The following is a 21,175-nucleotide window of genomic DNA, read 5'->3' as shown; positions in this document are numbered from 1 at the left end:
CATATTACTACTTAGAAATACTTTTCTTTAGTTTTAAGGACTCATTTTAGCATTTTTTGTAAGGAAAATGTAGGGATAATAAATATCTCAGCCTTTGTCTGGGAAAATTTTTTTATCTCTGCCTTATTTTTGAATGACAGTATTTTTGGGGTCAGTATTCTTGATTGCTAGTCTTTGTTTGTTTGTTTAGCTTTTGAAGTATAGCATTCCATTCCTTTCTGGCCTCCAGGGTTTCTGTTGAAAAATCCCATGAGAGTGTAATGGAGCTCCTCTTGTATGTAACAGGTCACTTTCCTCTTGCAGCTTTCAATATTCTCTCTTTGTCTTCAAATTTTAACAATTTGATTATGATGTAAATTGATGTGTGTCCCTTGGAAATAATCATATCAGGTATTCATTGAGCTTTCTAGATCTGAATTTATATTTCCTCTTCCAAACTTGGGCATTTTTCTGCCATTATTTATTTGAACATGTTTTATGTCTCTCTCTTTCTTTTCTCCTTCTGGTACATAAATAATGCATATATTATTTTACTTGATAGTATTATAAATTTTTTTAGGTTGTCTTCACCTTTTGTTTTCTTTTTGTTCATCAGATTGGATGATTTTAAATAACCTGTCTTCAAGTTCGCTAATTATTTTTTTTCTGCTTGATCTAGTTTGCTGTTGTACACTTCCATTGAATTTTTAAGTTCAGCTATTGTGTACTTTGGGTCAATTATTTCTGTTTATTACCTTTAATATTTTCTATCTCTATGTTGATGGTCTCAGTTTGTTCCCTCATTGCTCTCCTTACCACAGTGAACATCTTTACAGCTATCTTTTTGAATTTTCTGTCAGGTAAACCACATATCTCTGTTTCATTGGGATTTTATTCTGCAGCTTTATCTTGTGCTTTCATTTGGAATATATTTTCCCATCTTCACTTTCCTTGACTTTATGCATTTTTATGTGCATTAGATAAACAAAGAAAAATCCAAAACAAAACAAAAGACTTCTTCAAAGTCTTGTTAAACTGGTTTTGTGTCAGAGATATTCCTCCTTATTCAGCCTTGGTAGAGATGTTAGGTTCCTCAAAACTCTTTATGCTTGTCCAACCTGTTGCCATTGTTCTTAGTGGCATCCAAGAAATTAGAAAGTGTCAAAATGTTGTTCTATTGCGTTGAGAGAGTTGAGATAGAAGGCAGTCCCTTCACATGCAGTTGAAGAGCATAGAGTGTTAAATTTGTGGTCAAATTTATTCTTTCCTTGCAGAGAAGCTTAGAGCCAGAATTTACTTTCTATACCTTCTGCCCTTTGTCAAGGAGAGGGTCTAAGGCAGATGTCAGTACTGTTTATCATACTGCTCACTTTGAATGGGGAGAGATGGCTGCTGGACATTTACAAGTTTAAAAGTCATCTATTTGTTCTCTTTAGTATAAGAGTCTAAGAAGTGCAGAGCTTTGTGAACTCCCAGTTAGGTAATTTATGAGCCAGTCCTTTGAGTAGAGGGTATAAATGTTAAAATGTTCAATATGTACAGAAGCTAAGGGAGATTCTTCCTATCTGGATTAACTGCTGGAGCAAACCAGGACAGAAAACATGGGGAGTACCCACTCTCCTGTTTGAGTAAGTTTAAATACCATACCTTCCTTACAGAGATTCCTGGTCTGGAGTTATCACCAAAGCAAGTCAGCAAGGAAGGCACATGCAGTGTCTATTTTCCATTTCAGGCATGGAGAAGTCTCCTTGCCTCCTTTCAATGAAAAATTGAAAGAGTTAATTTCTGGAGCAAGCTGAGGGAGAAAGCTGAGGAGTGCCATTCTTACTGTTTTTGCTGGCAGAGGCCTGTAACCTATTTCTATGGAATGATTTCAGGACTGGAATTATTGCTGGAGAAAGCAGGGGAAAAGGGCACAGAAAGTTCTTGCCCTTTTGTTCAAGCAAGCTGCCTTCTCACCCCTTTTGTAGGATGAGTATTCTGGTCTGGAGTTATCATTGAATTAAGCCAAGGAAAAGTACACAGGGAGTTATCCCTTTCTCTTTCAGAACAGAGATGTCCCCTAGCCTCCCTATAATAAGAAACTGAAGAAATTTTCCTCAGAAACAAGCCAGGGGAAGAGTGGTGAGGAGTGTTGTTGCTCCTATTCTTACACGTAGAGGCCTCCAGCCTCTTTTCTGGGAGAGATTGTAGGGCTGGACCCACTCCCATTTGCAATAAAACAGATGGTTCTTACCCTTCTTGCAGAGGGAACTTTTTTGTCTTGAGTTATCACTGAAACAAACCAGGAGAGAAGGGTACAGAGAGTGTTAGGCTTCCCGTTTAGGCTGGAAGAGATTCATTTTTTTTTTTTTTTAATTTTCTTTGTATGCTTCCTGATACTGGCTTGATGCAGGCCAGAATGACAGAGAGCTGCTGGGAAAGTGTGCAGCCAAACTCTTTCTAGGAGATGCTACAGCATCTGGGAGTGTCCATGTGGTTCAAAACTCCTCTTTGTTTTTTGTGCTTGAGAAAAATTTCCTGATGCCTTGTCGCAGCCATTTTTCAAAAAAGGTGATGTAACAGCCATGCCCTCCTGCAGGAACTGTAAAAGTTGGACATTCTCTGTGCGGTATATGCCTCTCACTCCAGAAAATAGCTGGGAGCTGGGGTTTCCTTCTCAATTACAACGTGCTGTGCTCAGTGTAGGGTTGGTTCATAGGTGTATCTTCACTTTTCCCATTTATATTGATATGGATATTTTCTTAGTCCCCAGTTGCCTCAGAGTCTTTAAAGTGGGTTTTGGCTTCGTCTGGAGACAATCAATCCATGTCTAGGTGTTTACTTGTTATGTCTGTGGGAGGAAGAGTCAGGAGCCTCCTGTTCCACCATGTTGTTGACGTCACTGCAATTTAAATTCTTATCAGCAATGTATGAGAGGCTAGCTTTTTTTGAAATAAAAGTTTTGATTTTCCATAGCAAGAGTTCCTGTCATTCTTAATTTCCCACAGATTGTAGCACACTCAATCCAGGTAGCAACAACTTTAAGATCCTGTTGTATACATAGAGATGTTGTGGGGACACATGGAGCCAACCCAGTGTGACAGTTCTTAAATTTTTGAATATGGCACTGGGAGGCATTAGGCCCCCACCAGCATGGTATTGAGGAACTTTCCCTGTCCTATTACTTTCACAACTGTGAGATAAATTCAGGACCTTTTCAGGGAAGACTCATGTCATCATTGCTCATTGAAGTGTAAGTGGAGAAAAAGGAAAATGAGGTAAAGAAAGATTTCTCTAGAGCAGCCACCTCAGGTGGCAATGTCTAAAAGTATTTTTGTTTGACAAAACTGGAGAGGTGTATGCTACTAGCATCTACTAGGTAGAGGTGAAGAATACTGCCAAACATCCTACACAGTGTATATGACAGTATCCTAAACCAAAGAATGATATGGCCCAAAATGTCAACAGTGTGAGGTTTAGAAAACTTGGTATATTTTTATCTCTTCTCTCACCCCTTCCTCCCTCCAAGATACACATACAAGCTGTTAAAAGTGGTTCCATTTAGGGAAGAAGCTAGCTTTGGGTAGCAATATTTGGAAACTCAGAGTGAGGAGAAGGAACATAGACTGTCCTTTTTTGGTAGAATATATAGTATATACTAATATATGTATTATAAACATAATAAAGTATATTTTACAAAACACCCTACTGTATTTTTCAAATGATTTTTAAAAAAGCGTGTTGTCATGTAAATTTTGTAAATAAAAAGCTAAAGATACAGGATTATACTGTATACCAATAGAGATATTTTTACTTCTTTCTTTCTGATGTATTCCTTTGACTTACTTTTTTTTCTGACTGTTCTTGCCAATATTTCCAGTACTGTGTTGAACAGAAGTGGTGAGAGTGGACATCCTTGCTTTGTGCTGAGTATTAGATGATCATAATGTTAACTGTGTGTTTTTTCATAAATGTCCTGTAATACATTGAGTAAATTTCTTACATACCTAAATTGTTAATGATTTTTGTCAAGAAAATATGTCAGACTATGTCAAATGATTTTTATGCATCAATTAAGATTGTATAAGAAGTGCTGGGGAGGTTATTGAGAGAAGGAAGCCCGTGTACACTGTTGGTAGGAATGTAGATTAGTGCAGTCATGTAGAAAACAGTATGGAGGTCCCTAAAGAAATTAAATATAGAACTAACGTACCACCCAGTAATCCCTCTTCTGGGTACAGATCAAAAAGAAATCAAGTCACCACCTCATAAAGATACCTGCGTTTCCATGTTCATTGAAGTGCTGTTCACAATAACCAAAATATGGAAACATTTGAAGTATCATCAATGGCTGAATAGATTAAGAGACTGAAGTGTGTATGTGTGTGTGTGTATGTGTGTGTTTGTGTTTAATAAAATATTATTCAACCTTAAAAAGGAAAGAGATCCTGACATTTGCTACAAGATAGATGAATCTAGAAGACATGAAATAAACCAGACACAGAAGGAAAAATGCTGTGTGATGTCACTTAAATGTGGAATCTAAAAAGAAAGTTTCTTTAAAAAGTCAAATACAGAGAGATAGAGAATAAAACAGGTGGTTACCAAGGGCAGGATACATTTCCTCAGTCCCATAAACTGCCCAACTGTGTTTTATTACATTTGGCCACTGGCTTGCTATTTGCCTATCTTTTCTTTGTACTTTTGGGGATTTATTTCCCAGTTCCAGTAGGTAAAGATGTTCTCCTATTTTGTTTCTAATTATTATCAATTTTGTGGACTGAGTTGCCATAGTAACAACATAAGACTTTATCAGGGGAAAGGAGAAGACAGATTTGTTCCTGTATTGCTATGGATATACAGAGTACTGAGTTTACCTTAGACTATAAAGCAGCTCCTCCACAGGTGACTCGCCCTCAGTCTCTTTTATCGGGTGCACATTCACAAAAGCTGGATGTAGAGAATGACTAGACATATCGTTCCCTGCAATGTAAGACACCATCCAAATGGCGCTTACCATACCTCACAGCACAGTCACCCTCAGTGGTCTTAAGTGAGGGGAATTGGTATGCAGTCCCAGACCCCACTGGAAGCTCCCATCCTCAGGAGTCAGCCATAAGAGTGGGTTTACACCTGTGTGTCACACAGTTTCAGCACTCTGGGGACCTTACACCTTAGGATCTATACCCCAGGAAGGAGAAAGGCACCTGCAGCCCTGCACCCCACTCTGAATGGAGAGACCAGAGATGCACAGGGACCCTGGAGAACTTTCTCTTTCAGCTCCACAGCGGTGTAATCAGGAACCTAATTTGCTTCACTAGGGGTGCCTGTCTTGTTAGCTTTTTCTCTCTGCCTTTTTCCAGTGCATACAGGGAGTCATTGTGTTTTATATTCCATAATTAGTCCCATTGAGACATTTCTTTCTATTCCCTTTTTCCAATTTATTTCCCTGGTTCATTACTATATGGTGATATTACCCAGGCAGTCAGAGCTGGGTGTAGTCAGCACAAGGACAGAAGTAGACATGGGACCACAGGAGCTGGGAAGAAGCATAGATCCCAGGCTGGGGCCTTAGCACAGATGGACTGAGAAGGGTGCAGTTCTGAAGAACGTGGAGTTACTGAAAGGGGGAATTTCAGGGAGCGAGATCAGTAGCCTGATGGAGTATGAAGGGAAGGACCTGTTTCTGAGGCTCCTGGTGGCTGGAGGATGAGCTGGAGGGGTGGCCCAGAGTCAGATCGACCTGAGTCTCTATGTCCCTCTAAGGAACTATCATTGAAGGTTTGAGCAAAGTTACTCTCTTTTCTGGCCCCAAGATGGGTGTTCCTATTGCACGCTTCCTTGATGTGGAGTATGAGGTTGTGGCTAGGCCTTTTCCTCCAAAATCAATACTGTACTATGATAGAACTCCCCACAGACTTTGTAACTGGGGTCCTCTCCAAGGGGTCAACCCACTAAAGGGAGTCACACGAGATTCCTCCTGCAAAGCCACCTTGCACAGCATCCTTGCCAGGCCAAGGATTGGGGCAATGTGTCCACTGCTGCCTCTTGCACTGCCCAGCCATCCTCAGTTCTCTTTTTCCCCCATTTAGTTATCTCAGGGAAGATCAGAGAAGCCATGAAAACTTGTGTCTTGCTAGGATATAAGATCCCAGATTCCTCATTTTGCAAATATCTCAATCTTTATAGAGGGATGTGAAACAGCAGCAGGAACCTCTGAGCCCAGTCTTATAATAATACATGTAGGTTTTAGATTTTGTCTCGTATTAAGCATTTGACTTTTTAAAAATGCAATTGGTTAATCTCTACTTTCTGTAGGTTAATGATTGGATCTATGTTTATTGTGATTAGTAATATTTGGACTCAATTCCTAATGCTTTTTTGTCCCACTTTATTCATATTAAAAAATCCTTCTTTCTTGACCTATTTTTATTGTTCCATTTTTACATGTTTATTTTTAAATTTCATTTTACCCCTTTACTGGTATGTAAATTGTATGCTTGGTTTTCATTACTTTAATGACTATCCCTTCAATTTTGTAAACTGCATTTAACGATGTCTAGAAGCAATCAATATCTGAACCTTCCCTCCTGAACAGTAAGATGAGCTTAGGAAACATTAACCGTTCATTTTCCTTCCCACACCTCAACTTACATGCTGTATTAGGCCATTCTCACATTGCTATAAATACCTGAGACTGAGTAATTTACAAAGAAAAGAGGTTTCACTGGCTCATGATTCTGAAAGCTATACAGGAAGCATCATGCTGGTATCTGCTCAGCTTCTGGGGTGGCCTCAGGAAACTTACAATCATGGCAGAAGGTGAAGAGAGAACACACATATTACATGGCCAGAGTAGGAGCAAGAGAGAGGAGGGAGGTGCTATACACTTTTAAAAAAACAGATCTCACAATAAATCACTCACTCACTATCATGAGAACAGCACCAAGAAGAGGGAGCTAATCCATTCATGAAGGACCACTCCCATGATCCAATCACCTTCCATCAGCCCCATCTCCAACATTGGGAATTACAATTCCACATGATATTTGGGCCCGGACATAGATCCAAACAATATCACAAGCTATTGTAGTCTAATATTTTAATTCTAGAAATTCTTCATCACTTTAACTTTAGAAAGAAGATATTTTTAATTATTTTGTCATTTTTTAATGCAAAAAATTCCCAGTTTGTATTTACCAACATATTCACCAATGTTTTGGTTCATTTTTCTCTTAGAGTCATTTTTCTTCTTTTTAAAATATATCCTTGAAAATTCATTAGCCAAGTTTGACACATGTTGATTTTTTTAAGATGGTGAATTTCTTTTTAGTTTTTGATAATCTGAAATATATTTTACCTTCACTAATGAAAAAAAAACATTTCTGAATAGACAGTTCCAGGAGGAGATTAGATTTCTATGAGACTTTAGTGACATAACTCCCTGCTTTCTTGGCCTTCACTTTTGTGCCTGAGGAGCCGTCTTCATGTTATTCTATTAGATGAGCTGTCTTTCCTCTTTTTATCCTAAGAATTTTCTTTGTCTTTTGTTTTTGTATGTTTGTTTGTATGCTTCATTACAATATGAAAAGACAAGTTTTCTTTTACTTATCCTTACTTTTATAGCTTGTGATTCCTGTGTTTGGGGATTTGTGCCTTCATTCTTGTATGAAATTCTCAGCCACTTTCATTTGGAAAATTGTTTCCTTGCTGTTGTCTTTCCCCTTTCCAGGATTCTGATTATCTTTATTTAGGACCTTCTCAATCCATTCCATAGATTTTACCTTTCTGTAGCCAAGTGTGTTTCTAAAGATGGCTCAACGTGATTTGCTTGCCATGTGATCTTGGCATTCATCTCATCAAAGAGTGGGATGCACCTAGTTCCCTGCTTCTGGAATTCAGTGGATTTTTGTGACTGTTCAACCAGCAGAGTATAGCAGATGTGATTCCATCTGACTTCCAAGGCTAGGTCATAATAATGTTGCAGTCTTTTGGGACACCTGCTTTTGGGGCCAGCCTCATAATATGAGGAACCTCAAATAAGCTTTCTCATGGGGCACACAGGTAAAAGCTTGTGTGTGGAGGCCACATGCAGTTGTTCTGGTTGACAGCCCAACTTAGGTACAAGCTGCCAACCAACATCACCCATCAGACGTGAGTGTTGATGTCACCTAGCCATCAGCCATCAGCTGAAGTCACCCCCCGCTTTTGAGGCCCCTCACATCGTTGAACAGAAAGAAACCATCCTTGCTTGTAGTTGTGCCCTAAATGAACTACTGACTTTCAGAATCCATGTGGAGGATAAAATAATTGATTTTTTAGGCTACTAAGTTTTGGGATAGGTTATTAATGATTCAATAGAATGTGGAATATGTCTGTTACTATCCTTTGACTCAATATATTCTGCATACTTTCTTTGTTTCTATTGCCAAAGATACCAGTTACTTCTTCAGCCTTTCCCTAGTTGGCATTAAATAGACTAATTGAAGTTTGATTATTAGTGATTATATTTTTCATCTTTAAATGCTTTATTTAGTGATTTTCCAAATCTTCCTTGCCAGTTCTGATAGCATATTGCTGCTTAATATGTGATTCCTTCTTTTGTTTAGATATTTCATACACAGCATTTTCCGTTATAATTTTAGTATCTGAAGCCTTTGAGGTTTTATTTATATTGGATTGTTTCTACTGACTACCAACCATTGGTGACTTGTTTTCTTTTGCCATTGGTGGTATGTTTTTCCTCATTGGTTAAAATTAATCACAGAAATACTGAGGGCCTACAATGTGTCAAGGATTAAAGGAAGAGTCTCACACTTAGGTCTCCAACATTTACAGGTGCTAGGTTTGGGTTGGCTTTTTTTTTTTCCAGGAAATTCCAGGTTTTATAACATGTGTTTTCCCTGCAATGTTCTGTTTTTCCTTTTGCCCTTTAGACAGTTGTCTTACATCCTGTCTGACATCTGTAAGCTTCACAGTAAATTTAAGATGTATTTGTTTCAATTCATCTAAGATGGAGTGGCCTTCTATTTAGTCTGCCATATTGCTTGAAATAGAAATCCACGAAAACCATTAACCATAGATGGAGCTACAGATATAGTTATATATGTATATTAATACAAATCCTTTGAAAATAAGCGTTATGTAGAGTCACATATATCATTGCATCAATAAGAAACATTTCAAATGTATTTGGCAATGACAAATTAGAGTTAAATTGTTCGTTCCTGTGGATTAGTAAAGAATAGGAGTTTTAATCAAAAAAGGGTAGAAGGCTAAAAGTTTGGAAGTCCATAAATCAGAAATTTGATAGCAGCTTTACTCTAATGATTTCTGATTTCTTCCTCATAAATTTCTAATTGAACTTTTAGGGGAAGTTAAATTGGATAAGAAAAAATGGATTACAAAACTCACTTTAAATGTTCTTCTAGTTCATGGTTAAAACATAAATAGCTTATAGCTGGGAAGTTACCAATAATTATCTTCCTCACGCAGAGGCATTAGATAATTCTGTTTAAACTTAATTTGTATATTTTATAGGTTCGCTTTTAACTGTGCGTCTTAATATGTAAGAGAGTAAATGATTCTTTAATTTGTGTTCAATAACACAGAAATTTAAATGCGTTAGTACTGCTGTTCTGGGATATATTTAGTTTGTTATTACATAAAATGTTACTTTGCCTATGACATGTAGCTCTGAAGACTTCAGGCATTTTTTTTTTCCACCTAAAATAGTACAGAAAAAAACTGTGGCAGTCATGGTTAGATTTTCTTTGCTGTTTCAGCCTTCCAGGGCCACTTACGAAGGACAATTGCTTTGTGCTCACTTGACAAATTTTACACACTTTCTAGGATAAGTTGGTGAATAAAATTCAAAGTATGAGAACTAAATATGCTCCCTCCAAGAACCACCACTAGAACTAATTTAAAGAAAACACACACACAAAATACAAGTGTTGTGAGAACAGGGGAGGCAACAATAGTAAAGGTGTTTTGGATGCTGGAAAGAGATGCTAATAACTGACCTGGGACACTCAAGGCGGGATTTTATTGTGATTTGAAGTGTAACATATATGCCCTTAGAGGATGGTGAGCAATGCCAGGAGTTCATTGACTTCACAAAGCAGGTTGATCTGATGGCTGAAAACTGGCACCACCAGGTGTCTCAGAACATGGGGCAAGGGAGTAAAATCAGGAAATTGAAGGAAAGCTTTTGATAAATAGTATTCACGAAAATAGGCCCATGCCAAGGATAAAGTTTTTTGTTTGTTTGTTTTTTGTTTTTGTGAGATGGAGTCTCTCTGCTGCCCCGGCTGGAGTGCAATGGCGTGATCTTGGCTCGCTGCACCCTCTGCCTACCGGGCTCAAGTGATTTTTCTACTTCTGCTTCCCGAGTAGCAGGGCTTACAGGTACCCAACACCACGCCCAGCTAATTTTTGTATTTTTTAGTGGAGACGAGGATTCACCATGTTGGCCAGGTTGGTCTTGAGCTCCTGACCTCAGGTGATCTGCCCCCCTTGGCCTCCCAAAGTGCTGGGATTATAGGCATGAGCCACCATGCCTGGCCTGGATCATTATTTTTAAATGAATAATCAATACTACTAAGGTCAAAGAGAGAATAATCTGAATTGAGAGACAAATAAAAAGGAGGGAGGGAGGAGAGAGAGAGGGAGAAGAGAGGAAGAGAGAGAGGGAGAAAGGAAGAGGGAGGTGGGAGAGAGAGAGGAAGAGAGAGCTAGAGGGAGGTAAGAGGGAGGTAGGAGAGAGAGAGAGAGAGGGAGGCAGGGGGAGAGAGGGAGAGGTAGAGAGAGAGAAGAGAGACATAATGTTAACATACAGGAAATGCCATATTGGTTTGCTGCCATAATTAAAAACAAACAAATGTAAAAATAAATCATTTGCACAAGGAAAGACTTACACTGCGGTCTAATGCCACGAAGACTTGTTTATATGTGTGGGTCCACGTGAAAGTTGATGTTAACACAGAGACCACAAAGACAATAGTGTTTTAGTTGCTGTTGCTCAATTTTACTTACCTGGATGCCAGTATGGATAGAGAAAACATGCTTTGGGTTTCCTTTTGTTTTTAATTCAGACTGCAACCATGCCAACTTGAGGATAATTTAATGGAAACCTTTTCAGGTTACTCATAAATAAAGTATTTGAACATTATTGTTTTTCCTTTCAGTGCAATAAAAACATTGGTTTAAATATTGAAAACTGAAAGGAACTAGATAACTTCCACCCAGCTTTCCAAATAAAATTGAGTGTTAGCTTGAGAACAGCTCGAGAAATCTTAGGCCAAAGGCACATTTTTTTTTTCAAGAAGTTTTAAGCAGCTAAAAATGAGATTTAGAATAAAAGTAATTCTTTGAACATATCTAATTGTATTCCATAGCTCTTCCACGCACTTTAGCAGCATAATGTGGACAGAAAATTAAACTAGGAAACAGTCAAAGAGAGAAAATGGGTCATTTTTATTCTGAGATAAAAAATTTCCAATTCTAACCCAGAAGTTGAGATTTATTTAGTGGGATATCTAAATATATCTACCTCTATGTTCCAAAAATGAAGTATACATTATTTCTGACAGTAAGTAATAAAATTCCAATTAACACAGAGAGAGTAGAACTCTCTAGTAAGCAGCATTCCCAGACCCTTAGGATGCTTCCCTTCATCATGTCCTTTAATAATATGATTTTTCACTTGCTGTTATTACATATGGATTTAGCAAGTGGTTAGTATTATATTTCATTGCATGGATGTACAAAACATTTCTTAATCAGTCTCTAATGGAAAAACATTTAGGTGATTTCCACCTTTTGCTATAATAGAAAACATTGTTTTTTCATTTTACTTTTGACAAGTAATAATTGTATGTATTATATATTTATGGGGCACAATTTGATGTTCTGATATATGTTTACACTGTTACATGATCATCTTAGAGAATATTTGAGCAATATTTTTTAAGTGACTAGAAGTATAATATTTGAGTGAAAGGGTAAGTGCGTGTTTACATTGGATCGATGTTTATTGTGTAGTTTCTCCCATCTGCTGTCCCAACCTTACTAAACCCCACCCTGGACATAAGCCATTAGGGTGGTCTCAATGGGCGTCAGATGAAAAGAAGAGAATCCAGGCAGAAGCCCCAGACTCCTATATCTAAAGAAACAAAAGTGACATATTTTTGTAAATGAGACAATTTCAATGTAGGCAAAACCCAAGAGAGTGCGGGTGAGGACAAGGGGTAAGCCAAGGTATGGGTTACGGCTGTAAAAAGTAGCAGGATCAGCAAGTGACAGGTTCTATGATGCTACACCCATTTTGGGGCTTTATTTTGAAGTCTAAGAGGAGTCTTTGAAGAAGTCAGTATTGCAAGGACATGGTCAAATTACTGCTTCATCATGTCACCATGGCAACTGTGTGGAACAGCATTTGGTGGGATAAGGTGAATGGTAGCAAGTGGAAGAAAGTGCAGCCATGAGAATTTATGAGGGATGGAAATCACTGAGATGAGGCAGGGACTGAAAAGTGACAGAGCTGAGGATTTCAGGTGGAGCACTTCTCAGCACCAGACTACTCACAAAATAAAGGATCAGTGTGAAAGAAGACTCCTAGAATGCTGGCTTAGAAAACTGGATGGAAGGAGGTACCCAGAACCAATGTAGGGATGGCAACATGAAAAATGGATTTACGTAGAATCATGATTTCATAATGGAGCTTAGACTTTCGATGAGTTTGAGGCTCTGAAGTAACAATGAGGTACAGCTACCTGGTAAGTGATTGTAGGGGAGTTTAATATGTATATGTAAAATTCAGGAGACAAAAACAAGTTGAAGATAACAAAGTGGGAGCTTTAAAAATGCAGACTGAAGTTGCAGCTGTACAAACAAATGAAAATGCCCAGGATTCATTCAGTTGCAAGTGTGAGAAAGAGATGACATTGGATAAATAGAAAGAAATGTAATGATTCACTTGTCTATAAGAAGAAGCCTGGACTTGGCCTCAGCCGTGAGCGGCTCTGAGGAACCTCCCACAAGGTGAGTGTATTGAAGTCTGAGTCCACACCTTGCTTTCGGCTCATGTCCGCTCTCTGTATCTGTCTTTGCTCAGCTTTTGTGTGTTGGCCTCACTGACTTCCTCTTTTGGAGGAGACAGGATGACCAGCAGCTCTCATCTCCATGATTTGCAATCCAGAAATATTGATTACTTGCTTGCTTGGCTTGGGTGCTGTACCAAATGTACCAAATGCTATACCAAATCTTGTACCAAATGCTGCATCTGTGGTAGATAGCCTCCAAAACTGAGTACTGACACTTCAACGTCCCTTTATATGTGAAAGCTTCTTCTCCTATCTGCAGATTAATCTATTTCTCCTCTCCTCGGATCTTGGCCAGTTTAGTGACTTGCCTATAGGAGGTGGTAGATGTGATGTTGTGTCAGTTACAGAACTAGTCATTAAGAGACCTGGGAGCTTTCAATTAGTTCTCAGATCTGACTGTCATGCTGCAGAGAAGCCCAGGTGATTCTACAGAAGAGGGAGGCTTATGGCTATATTCTGGAGGATAAGAGGCCATGTATAGAGGGTTTGTATGGAGGAGAGGCTAGTAGAACCACTTGACACACATCAAAACCCAAACTTGACAGAGAGCTATTTTGACCTCCATCCCAGCCTTGCTCAGGCACCAACTGAATACAGCCGCCTGAGTCACTGTGGCCAATGACACTTGGAGAAGACCTACCCTATGAACCCCCAGAACACATGACAGAACATAAATCAAGCTTTCTTTAAGGCTCTAAGCTTTGAGATGTTTTACTGTACAGAACTGCTACCTGAAATAGTGGCCTTAGCACAGCTATATAATAAGTCAGGCTGGCTCACTCCTTCTCTCTTGTTGCCATAGACAGCAGAGCACTCATGTTGAGGGAAAGAAGAAGTTTCCTAGAGTGGAGGTGGACATTGTAATCAAAGGTGTAGGAAAGGGATGCTGGCTGCACAGAAAAAGTGTTGTTCACCACCAGGAGGAAGGAGGGAAACAAGAAGACCTGAGGATCAGGTGGTACACCACTTCAGTGTTCAGGTGGCACAAACAAACACTAGAAGAAAATAATCATCACCAGCCTGGGAAACATGGCAAAATCCAATCTCTACAAAAAATAACAACAACAAAAGAAAACCACACACACACAAAAGTAAATTAGCCAGGCATGGTGGCATGCACCTGTAATCCCAGCTGCTTGAGAGGCTGAGGTGGGAGGATTCATTGAACCCAGGAGATTGAGGTTGCAGTGAGGTGTGATTGCACCACTGTGCTCGAGCCTAGACAACAGAGTGGGACTTAGAGAGAGAGAGAGAGAGAGAGACAAAAGAAGAAAGAAAAGAAAAAGAAAAGGAAAGAAAGAAAGAAAGGAAAGAGGGAAGGAAGGGAGGGAGGGAGAGAGGGAGGGAAAGAAAGGAAGAAAGAGAAAGAAGAAAAGAAGGAAAGAAAGGAAAGAGAAAGAAAGAGGAGAAAAGGAAAGAGAAGGAAGGGAAAGAAGAATAAAGAAAGGAAAGAAAGAAAAAAGAATGAAAGAAAGAAAGCAAAAAGAAAGGAAAGAAGAAAGAACGAAAGAAAGAAAGCAAAAAGAAAGAAAGGAAAGAAAAAAAGAACGAAAGAAAGAAAAGAAAGAAAATAGTGATCATAGAATGCATGAGCTCAGCTGAAAGTTAAGGGAGAAGAGAGCATTGGCTCCTTAAATAGTGTGTATCCCTCATCAGGATATGGTCTATGACTCATTCCCTTTAATGACTCCCCAATAAGATTATATTAATGTCTGAAGTTGAAAAGTGGAAATGGTTCCTATACAGGAAGATTGTGAAAATTTGTTATGTCCTTTCAGTAGCTTGGTGAACTGTGCTGAATCAAAACCTGCCCTTTCCCTCACACATTCTAAAGACAAGTATGTTGATAAAACCTGGGAGCATAGACTAATATAGAAACAATCATCTAGATTATTTTCGACCTGAAAATTTTATTGATGATAATTCCAGAATTTCGTGGACGTCCTGAGATGCACTAGATAAAACACAGTAAAGAGCCCTTAATAAATTGCTTAGTTCAAAAGAAAGGGAAACACTCTGGTCAAGAAGTGCCCTAGTTCATTAGGGCTGCTGTAACAGAATACCACAGACTGAGTGTCTTATAAACAACAAATTGACTTCTCACAGTTCTGGAGGTTGGGAAGTCCAAGATCAAGATATTGGCTGGTTATGTGTCTGGTGTTGGTCTGCTTCCTGGTTCATAAATGGTCCCATCTCTCTGTGTCCTCACATGGCAGAAGGGACAAGAAAGCTCTCCAGGGTTTCTTTTATAAGGGCATTAATTTCATTCAAGAGAGATCCAATTTCATGATGTAATAACTTACCAAAGCCCCACCTTCTAATACCATAACATTGGGGGATCAGGGTTTCAATAAATGAATTTTACAGAGAACCAAACATTTAGTCTATAGCAAATTACTGGGGAGTTCAAACTGAATTTCCAGCAGCCCACCACGTATAGGACACAGGCACACGAGTGCTAGGATTCTAAATCTCAGTGGAGGGCAGGTTTTGTGGCCTTCTATCTAACCAAGAGGGTATATAGATCTGACTCACTGCCTTAGAGCCAAGGTCCTTTAAATGCTGCCAGTTTAAGCAGCAAGAAAACCACCACCATGCCAAAATGGACTAAGAGCTTTCTATCTTCCTGTGCCTCAGGATGAAGACTCACTTCCGTCTGAAAATGTAAGCTTCCTGAGGATAGAAGTTTTTACTCTGGTTAACTGGGGTACTTAGCACTTGGAGCACTACACACATCATAGGAGTTCAGCAAATACTTATTGAATGAAATGAAACCTATAAATTCAGTCCCTGCCGCACAGAGATGTGGAGTCTGAATTTGCATTACCTGCATGGAGAAGAAATACCGACCTGAGACTATGCCAATAAGTATGACCTTGGATTGATGAAATCAGGAACTGTAGGAGAATCAAAGGTATAACTCCTCTTGTTCCCTTCTATAGAACACATCTTATTAAAAATGACCACCATAAAAACTACACAAAGAATTTGATAATATAGGAGATGGTATGGTTTGAGCCAGAAGGGCTAATAGAGGTTTTCCTTTGGGGAAAATGGTTGGGTTTATGTTGTATAAATTGGTTTAAACGCTGATAAGTAGGACCCAATGGACTGTGGAAGGTAAAGATACAATAGAGCTGAGATTGGATGAGGAAGTGTAGTCATTGAAAATAATGTGGGCAGGGAAGTTATGTTATATAGGCACAGGCACAATCTGTGATGGAAGGGAAGAGAGAAAAAATGAGTAATTAGTACCTGATTGTGTCAGAAGTTGAGCAAGGTCTTGCTTTATGGCTTCTATTTTCTATGTTGGGAAGATGTAAGGTTATCTTCCATAGTTGGTGGAGGAGAGGACTTTAGAACTACTTATTCCCAAATGCCCATCAATTGTAGGCTAGATAATGAAAATATGGCACATATACACTATGAAGTACTATGCAGCCATAAAAAGGATGAGTTCACGTCCTTTGCAAGGACATGGATGAAGCTGGAAACCGTCATTCCCACCAAACTAACACAGGAACAGAAAACCAAACACCTCATGTTCTCACTCCTAAGTGGGAGTGAACAATGAGAACACATGGAGACAGGGAGGGGAACATCACCTACCGGGGCCTGTCGAGGAGTGGAGAGCTAGAGGAGGGATAGCATTAGGAGAAATACCTAATGTAGATGATGGGTTGATAGGTGCAGCAAACAACCATGGCACGTGTATACCTATGTAACAAACCTGCACATACTGCACGTGTATCCCAGAACTTAAAGTATAATTTAAAAAAGAAGAAAAAGTAAATAAACAAATATCAACAGAAAAGGAAAACGTAAAAAGAAGAAATACTTATTGATACTTATTATAATTAACATTCATGTATGAATGGCACTTTCTAGTCATTATCTCCAATCCTTAGGACAACACTGTAGGGTATATGGTAAAATCTCCGTTTTAGGAATGAAGAAATTTAAGCTCTTAGAAATTCTGGAATTTGACCAAGCCAAGTAAATAGTGAAGATACGATGGTGATGCTTGCTCCTACCAACGAATTCATTCATCTTGTGAGCATTCACTTTGGAGAAGAGCAATCAGTTGAAATAATCGTTGTAGAATGTGAGGAAAACAGCCTCATGGGAAACACAGTATGTTGGGGTGAAGCATTGAGGCACCAGTCAATGAAGGTGGACAGATTTGTGGTCACTCCAATCTATGTGATTCTAAATTCCCCATCCTCAGCCCACCTCCTATCTTGGGCAGCTCAGGTAGACATGTCTGATTGTGTTATTCACTGTCAAGATATAGGATGAAAACTAAAGTGAAAAGGCAATGAGCGAGTGAAGTTTTGGTAAGGGTATTGATTGTATTCCACTGCTAAGACCAATGGGTCTACCCCTAACATTGCAAAACAATGGTACATGACAAAGGTACAAATGGATCCTCAAAAACCATGTTATAGGTAATACTTATGAACAAAGCTAACAATTTACTCAATAAAATATGCTCTATCATTCTACCTTTCTAAATATGTTGTTAAAATGACAATATTGAAATACACATACAAATTTACTTGCTGTGGTGTGAATATTTGCATCCTCCCAAAACTCATATATTAAAATCCCAACTCCCAAGTGTTAATATTAAAAGATGAGGCCTTTGGAAGGTGATTAAGTTGAGAGCAGAGCTGTCATGATGTGATTAGTGTCCTTATAAAAAGACCCCAGAGACCTCGCTCTCTTCTACTATGTGAGGACACAGTTAAGGCATCATCTGTGCTGACACTGAATTGGCCATCTCTTAATCCTGGACTTCCCAATCTCAGAACACTAGGAAATACCATTGTTTATAAGTTACCCAGTTTATGATATTTTGTTATAGAAGCCAGAATGGATTAAGACTCTATATTTTTATATAAGAGAAACTCAGCAAAATATTAAAACTACCAAAATAGTATTAAACTGATATTTAATATTAAAACTATTACAATTAAATTATTATTGACCATGCCTGATTATTCTATTAATTGATTGGAAATGGTTGGGTGAATAATAATGAGATTATTCTATTAATAGATTGGAAATGGTTGGATGAATAGTAATATTAAGACAACATCATTCATTCTGTTTTATAGTTAAAATGTTCACATCAATATATGAAGTCACAGTTGACACAAATTCATATTAATAATTTAAAAGACTGAAAATAAAATGTAATTGTTTGAAGTACACAAATGGTGTATATTTTCCACAAACATCTAAAGTTAATGTAACAAAAATAAAAAATTTGGCCAGGCACCGTGGCTCATGTCTGTAATCCCACCACTTTGGAAGGCTGAGGTGAGCAGATCACTTGCGGTCAGGAGTTTGAGACCAGCCTGGCCAACATGGTGAAACCCTGTCTCTACTAAAAATACAAAAATTAGCCGGGCATGGTGGTGTGCCCCTATATTCCCAGCTGCTAAGGAGGCTGAGGCAGGAGAATCGCTTGAACCCGGGTTGGGTAGGTTGCAGTGAGCCAAGATCTCACCACTACTCCTCCAGCCTCAGAGACAGAGTGAGACTCCGTCTCAAAAAAAAAATTATAAAAATAAAAAAATAAATAAATAAGTTAAAATTGTCATTTTTTCTCACATATTAAAATATATATAAAATTAGAAAGCAATATAAACCTAATTATTGAACACAAATTTCTATGTCAAATTATCTAAATAGTGCCAAATTTTATTTAAATTTAATGAAAATGTAATTAACTCAATAAACACTTTTAATAAGAAAACTATTCCCAGTTCTAGCATTCTGTATCCATTTGTTTGCCTATGTAAAGAATTATTAGCATGCTATGAGCAGCTTGTTAGTTTAGGGTATTTTAGATGATACAAATTTAAGATTTAAGTGTACTTTGCAAAATACCCTTCAGCCACCCTAGGAAATTGCAATAACTTGCAAATTTATGAGTGCCTCTATGCAAATTCTGAAGGCTTCTCATTGCACTCATTCTAAATTCATCTTCTTTACTTTGGTCTGGCCTTTGCTTATTTCTCCAGCCTCATGTCTTGTCACTCCCCCCTTCACTCCTAACCCTCTGCTTTCATCTCTTCTTGCCCATGTGACTTTCTTGGCCACTATTCTCTCATCAATTTCAGCACAACCATCCAAGATTAAAAGTAAGTTCATGGATTCTTCAGATAGTTATTGAGCCCAGAAGGTAGCAGGAATTATGAGTGCAGAGATGAAAGTCAGCTCCAGAGTGGAGAATCTTGCACCCTGGTAGGGAAGCAGAAATTGAAAGCTGGTGGAATGAGTGAGTCTCAGATGCTCATGCATTGTATTGGGGAGTGGGTTACTTGGGTTAACCTTATTTGGGTTAATTCTGGGAAAATTTCCTTAAGGGAGTATCCCTGAGTGGGTCATGAATGAACCAGTTGGGGTTTTGTAAGAAAGGAAAGAAAGTACAGCTGGGAGGTGGATGTGTGTGTTAGGGCTTGGTGTGCTGGAAATAGTAAGGCAGCCTTGTTTGTGGTTGAACTTCTTAAATATTTCTGCTGAAATCCCTAATGGCAGTGGGGACAGTGCAGGGACTGATTATATAACTTAAGAAGCCTTTTTGCCTAAGGGATTTCCCTTTACAATTTTATCTTTTAGCTCATAAATTCATGTAAAAGTTCATTCTAGTTCTTAAAATCCTTGACATTGTTTTATATAAAAAGGATAGTTCTTGATAAGTTTACATTTAATTGTCTAGAATTCGTTCTCTCCAAAGTTTTGAAAATGTCAGTGCTCCAGTACAATAAGCCATGTTTATCCTGAGGCTGCTGGCCACCTCATTGCACCCTTGGCTCATAGGCCCCAGCTGGGTAATGATGTGTGCAGTACTATCTGTTCCCTCTCTCCTCCATCAGCCCCCAAACTTTAGCAACGTATGCCAGTCACGATAATTGTATGTGGATCAATTGGGCATAAGTGCAACAGAGTCAATTTGATAAATGGCTGATTTAGCAAGACCTGATTCTGTTTATTATTCAGACTGAATTAACATTTTTCTTTCTTTGGGGAAGTAAAGGAATGTTAGCTACTTGATTTCCTTATTTATTCTGAAACAAATAATATTGCAGCCCATCTGCAAATATGTTGCTGTCTTTCAAACTAGAACCCACGTTTGAGAGTGAAATGTGCCCCCAGAGAGAAGAAAATGCTCCCTCCTCTCTTACAGCCAGTAGAAAAGGGGCAGTCTAAGCTTTTGATGATGGTGGCAGGTGCACTCACCTCCACCAGAGGCAAAACTTAAGACAGCAAGGACAGATGATCTTGATTCCAGGGGTATAGAACACTTAGTGACTGTATTTAGCAGTGCATGAGAAGTTGGGTTTGAAAATACTGAGATAATGCTTCTTAGTCCAAAACAAACAAAAAATATTAGGTATATCAGAGTACTTAGCAGACAGTTGTCACAGCAGTATTTTGATTTAAAGATTAGGAAAATTACTAGTTAGTGTCCACTCAAGTGGTAAAACGAAGAGATATGAGATGCTTGAATGACTTTTGAGTGTCATTTGGGTTCTTTCTTCCTGTATACATTTATTATTTTCAAAATCCACACTTCCGAAACCTTCACTGAGCTTCCGCTTTATGCCAAGTACAGTTACGAGGTGTTAAGGAAATAACAATTAATTCCTTCAGATAATGCTTGTGTTTCTAGGTGCCAGGCACTGTCCAGGGGCCATTGTCCGGGTCCTTTTTCATGTACCTTGATCTAATTTGGGGGGAAAGAAAACGTGTAAGATAACAAACTAACACATTAACAGGTATAATCCCAGTAATGAGAGCAATAATGATAATTTCAATAAAGTTATGTGATGAGGTGGGGCTGGGTGGCCACTGTAGATTACATGGGCAGAGAAATTTCTCTGAAGGGGTGACGTTTGAATTGAGATTTGAGTGACAGGAAGGGGCTCACTATGTAGAAGTTAAGCAGAGGTAAGTTATTCCCAATGTCCTAAGAATGGGCTGGAGTTTGGAAATAGGAATAGGAAGAAAGCTCTCTTGCCAGATTGCTGTGGGGCAGAGGGATTGGTGTGGCCAGGGGATAGAGAGGTGACAGGCCTGGACACACAGACCTTTGA

General features: G+C 38.7%; 1 long non-coding RNA gene across 3 annotated transcripts in view; it reads left to right on the top strand.

Annotated features, from left to right (window-relative positions):
• Positions 1–21,175, top strand: part of LOC101929307 (uncharacterized) — an 88,088-nt gene that overhangs the window by 45,076 nt on the left and 21,837 nt on the right. Inside the window, exon 4 of one of the 3 annotated variants that reach the window (XR_007058685.1) lies at positions 15,705–16,881. The exons of the other annotated variants lie outside the window; for them this stretch is intronic. This is a non-coding gene — a long non-coding RNA (uncharacterized LOC101929307). Of the gene's footprint in view, positions 1–15,704; positions 16,882–21,175 lie in introns of those variants that run through there. 3 annotated transcript variants of the gene reach the window in all.

This window comes from Homo sapiens, chromosome 5 (genome assembly GCF_000001405.40).
Source record: "Homo sapiens chromosome 5, GRCh38.p14 Primary Assembly".
Lineage (NCBI taxonomy): Eukaryota > Metazoa > Chordata > Mammalia > Primates > Hominidae > Homo > Homo sapiens.
The sequence above is the reverse complement of the archived record's forward strand: the minus strand, read 5'-3'. Positions and strand labels throughout refer to the sequence as shown.